Source organism: Homo sapiens, chromosome 3 (genome assembly GCF_000001405.40).
Source record: "Homo sapiens chromosome 3, GRCh38.p14 Primary Assembly".
Classification (NCBI taxonomy): Eukaryota; Metazoa; Chordata; class Mammalia; order Primates; family Hominidae; genus Homo; species Homo sapiens.
The window spans coordinates 83783885-83788432 of NC_000003.12; the positions used below are offsets into that span (position 1 = coordinate 83783885).

Genomic DNA, 4548 nt, shown 5'->3' on the forward strand with positions numbered 1-4548 from the left:
TGAATCTCCTTTAAAAAATGAACAAGGTAATACTGACATTGACCTGTTCTTGGGCCTCATTTCCCAAGAGTACAGTCATGTTAGATTGAGATGAAAGTTTTCACTTCCTTGCTTTCCAACTTTATGTGTGGGAAATACAGTTTTTCTTGATGCTGCAAAAGGCTACCAACTTAAATCCTTATCTCCTTGTGTGTGATTCAATGACAAGCCTCAGAGAACTAAATAGTGGAAATAATTATAGACAATCCACTCTCATGACTTCAGTGTGGAGTCTGGCAGCATTGGGCCTTTAACTCTCATGTAGTATTTGAAAAAAGCCTACTGTGTTATTTTTCCTTCAAAAAAATTGAAGTAAAAATCATGTGTATTTCTGTAACAACAAAAAAGGAAAATGTGCTTTTGTTTAGGATTTGGTCATTTTTGTCCATAAAACAAGTGTGCATATGACTCTAATTTTTCCTAGGCCAAAATTAAACTTTTACTGAATAGTTTCATGCTGTCTTTTTTGTAACTCTACCCTGAAAAACGCACGTGAAATAATCATCTTAAGCAGTTGCTTTTTCCCCTGAATTTAAAAAGAAACAACAGGTATTCAGGAAGAGTATTTTGACTTTTGAAAACCTTTGTAAGAATTCAAGGCCACGTGTCATTTCAGTGTACCATTAAAAACCCATTTTGATTACAGTAACATTTGTTGCACAGAGGAAAGTAGCATTTAATTTGTTTTCTCATAGTATAGTTCCTACTGGGTGGGTAAGAGACTATTTCTAATTTTGTTTTGTATGAAGCTATTGCTTTTTTGCACTTTGCTTGTGCTGATACAATGATTCTTTTGAGAAATAATGGTAAACTAATACAGATTTTCTCAAAGAAACTGTGTGATATGGTCTGAATGAATTCTTTTTTTTTTTGGCCTGAGAGCCAATTTATTTTTCAGAGTAGAAAAATGAGAATAAAAATATATTCTAGGGACTTTTGTTTGAGACATTATCTCTTTGGCATAGTTTCTTTCAGTAATTATTACCTTTTTATCTTATTTTAAAAGTACAGTCCTTTAAATTATATTTTACTAGTATGGGAACCTTAAAATAAAAGCAAAGTTTTATAGGATATCTTTGGAGGTATTATTTTTTCATCTACTTGGGTAATTTTTAAAATAGGATAAATGAACCAAGAAGGAAATGTCTTTCCTATTTGTATGAAAGTAAATAATAGTACTATGTATTAATGAAAATTTAAGTTGCAAATTAATTATGAATGCTTCAAAATAAACAAAGAAAACTAAAGCAACTTTATCAGAAGCAACAAACCAACATCATCAATTTATCCTATAATCTGTTGTGATTAGGACTGCCAATCTTTAGCCTTAGTTTACTTTGTCGAACCCAATTGATTTATAACAAAAAATTATATTTGAATCAGATTTTTTCCTCTTTAAGACTGTACCGAATACATCAGAACTTGTAGTAATCTACCAAATGTATAAATTATTCTGTTTCCATAAAATTTTTACACTATAGAATATACTTTTGAATTGTTTATTAATTCTAACACTTTACCAAGTGGTAAACTTATCTATGTTTTTTTGTGTATATTAAATGCAAAGAGATCATTACAGTGTTGATATTCAGAGCTTACTGAAGTGGCAGAACTTTTCAATGGAAAGTAATTGCATTTGGTGTACAATATCTAAGATGTTTGTATGTGTGTTTACTTTTTTTTCCACATGTTTATGATAGTCCCACTCCAGGGGACAGTCTTCCAGTATGTGAATCACGAGTGTACCAGACAATCCTCTTATGCTTTTCTGTTTATCAATAAACAGAAACACCTAGGATGGCAAAGGCCACATAGAAAAAGTGTTGTCTGTATGTACCAAGCTGAGAGATTCATATATGTGTTCTTCACCTGTGGTAGAAAATTACCCCAACACATCACAATGAACCCTTCAAGATAATAAATATCTATTCATAGAAAAGCTGGGGAATCCTAATCCACTAATATTGCACCCAATGTAGAAAAGGCAAATGTGCATATGCCAAAAAGTATAAGGTCAATCTTTATTGCTCCCAGAGTTATTCAGTGGTTATGCTAATACCATTTATGAAAAAATACCTGGAATTTCCAAAGATTTGCAATACCATATTGCCATTAGGAAATGCAGATATATAAAGAAATAGGCAGCCATTTCTTGTTAATTTCAATAATTATGTTCTATAAGAAATTCATCACTAAAATTGAATTAGCTAATACTGAAGAACTGTTCCTAAGAGAAACACATGGTTAGGTTCCTGCAAACCTCTGTTCACATTTCCTGCAAGCCTAGTTCAGCATTTTATCAGTTCATCAATAGGCAACTTATTTTATGTATGTTTTTATTTAAAGACACACTTTTAAAGATATGTTGTTGATTTATTAACATTAAACTCAAGTTCAACAGCACTATTACTCATGCCTGAACAAAGCTTATCTAATACAAGCATTTTCTCTGGAAGGCACATCAGAACCTTCTTGCACTCAGGAAGACAAGGCAACACTTCAGTACGATGATTGTGGGCCATGTTAAACAGAAAGTGAACAGCGAAAATCATAAAAGCATGAAACAGAAAATAACAAAGAGTATAAGAACTGGATTTTAGAACTGAAAAAAGAAGATAGTTTGTTATCACTTTGTTCAATATCAGCTGAACATTTGAGCAATGAGTGCCTCAAACTTTACTCTGAGCAAAATAACTGCAAATGAGCATGTAAGTTACATGAATATTCATTTGGGGGTTACAAATTTAGTGAGTAAATGAATGTGGAATCTGCCAATAATGAGGATGAAATATACATAGGTAAACAGATAGTTTTTTGTATGTACGGCAGCAGATAGTTTTTTGTATGTATGGCTTTGTGTTCTATGACATCAATATTTTTAATTTCACAATTCGTAAGACTGTTTTATTATACCTCTTTATACCTATATTATGTTATATAATCTAATTCATTTTATGGTAATTTTGTTGTTAATTTTATTGTTTATAAATGTAAAAGCTGTTAATTATTAAAAATAATATAAAAATATCAAAATGAATAAATGAAATAAACTACACAGACTCTCAACACCTAAAGGTAAAGAAAATTCACACAGTATATAACCATATCTCCAGCTGTTTTACATTAAAATAATCTCTGATATTGGACATTTTTATTGTTCTCCTTTTTCTACTTTATATAAAAATTCATATAATACCTATGTTCTTAATCTTCTATTTTGGATTATTATTTAAATTGATCAGTAAAAGTAAATCAATATTTAATGGTTCTTAACTAAAATAAGATGGTTAAACATATATATATCCTCAAACAGCTGTGTTTAAGTATGCTTCTTTCATCTCACCACTTTTTCCTGTTATTGCATATAATTATTAACACACATGCACACACACACACACACACCCCGCACACACATACACCACTCTGCAAATTAGGTAAATATTAACATTTCTTTCTTTTACAACACTTCTACATAATTTTCTTTAGATTGAATTTTTAAATTATTTTATCTTTTATTTCCACAATTCTGTGAATTATGTATTGGTGTTATTTGCACAATTTTTATTGACAGAATTTTCTTTTCATTCATTTGTATGAACTCCTTTTGAATTATTCCCTTCTTTATACATTTACAGCAAATTATACTATACTATTATATTTTAATATACTGCATTATATTTTAGTGAGTTTATCACTAACATTTTGTAGCTAATTTCCTCTGAATATTCATTTTCTCTATCTTCCTGAAATAAATAGAAATCCATGAATATTGCCCCAAACTTTCTTGTTTGAAATCTTTCCTATCTTAATTAATGGCCTCCAGATTCTCACATTAAAACATTTGAGGTCAATTTTGATACTTCCTTTTCTCTCATACTGCACCTGTAAATTCTGTCAAAACATACTATTACTGCAATCTGTTTCCACCACTGCCACTGCTAAGAATTTACTCTATGTCACCATCATCTCTTACCTGGATTATTGCACTATCTTTGTGACTGATCGTGCTTCCACCTTGGCCTATTTTCCACACAGTTGCCAGCATGATCCTATTAAAACGTCAAGTCAGATCAGATCGACTCTAAAAGCGTTTTATCTGTAAAAACCAAATTTTGAAATGGTTAACTGCACACTACTTAATCTGTAAACTCTTAGACCTTGTCCCTGAGTACGCAACCTCACTGTCACTCTACTAAAGCATATTGGTCTCTATGCTCTTCTTCAATCAGACCAGGCAATGCCTTCATCTTAGTTCCCTTCACTGGCTCTTCCCTAGGCTTGGAATTCCCTTGTGGGTGAGTTCCTTGGAATCACTTGAAAAAAATCCTTCTACTCTTTTATTATTATGCTTATTATTTTAGGTGAATGTAATAAGCATAGGAATATTCTCTATTAAAAATACTTTTAGCGAGAATTATTAATGCTCCTTTAAGAAACTCCTCTTTTTTTTGTTTGTTTTTGTTTTTTTTGTTTTTGTTTTTGTTTGTTTTTTTTTGTTTTTTTTGTTTT

At 30.8% G+C, this 4548-nt stretch overlaps 1 annotated feature.

The window, feature by feature from the left end:
- Nucleotides 4081–4281: a silencer, noted in NCBI's record as "peak4730 fragment used in MPRA reporter construct". NCBI's record gives its function as "represses an SCP1 promoter by STARR-seq MPRAs in K562 erythroleukemia cells {active_cell/tissue: K562}" and the evidence as "EXISTENCE:reporter gene assay evidence [ECO:0000049][PMID:32103011]".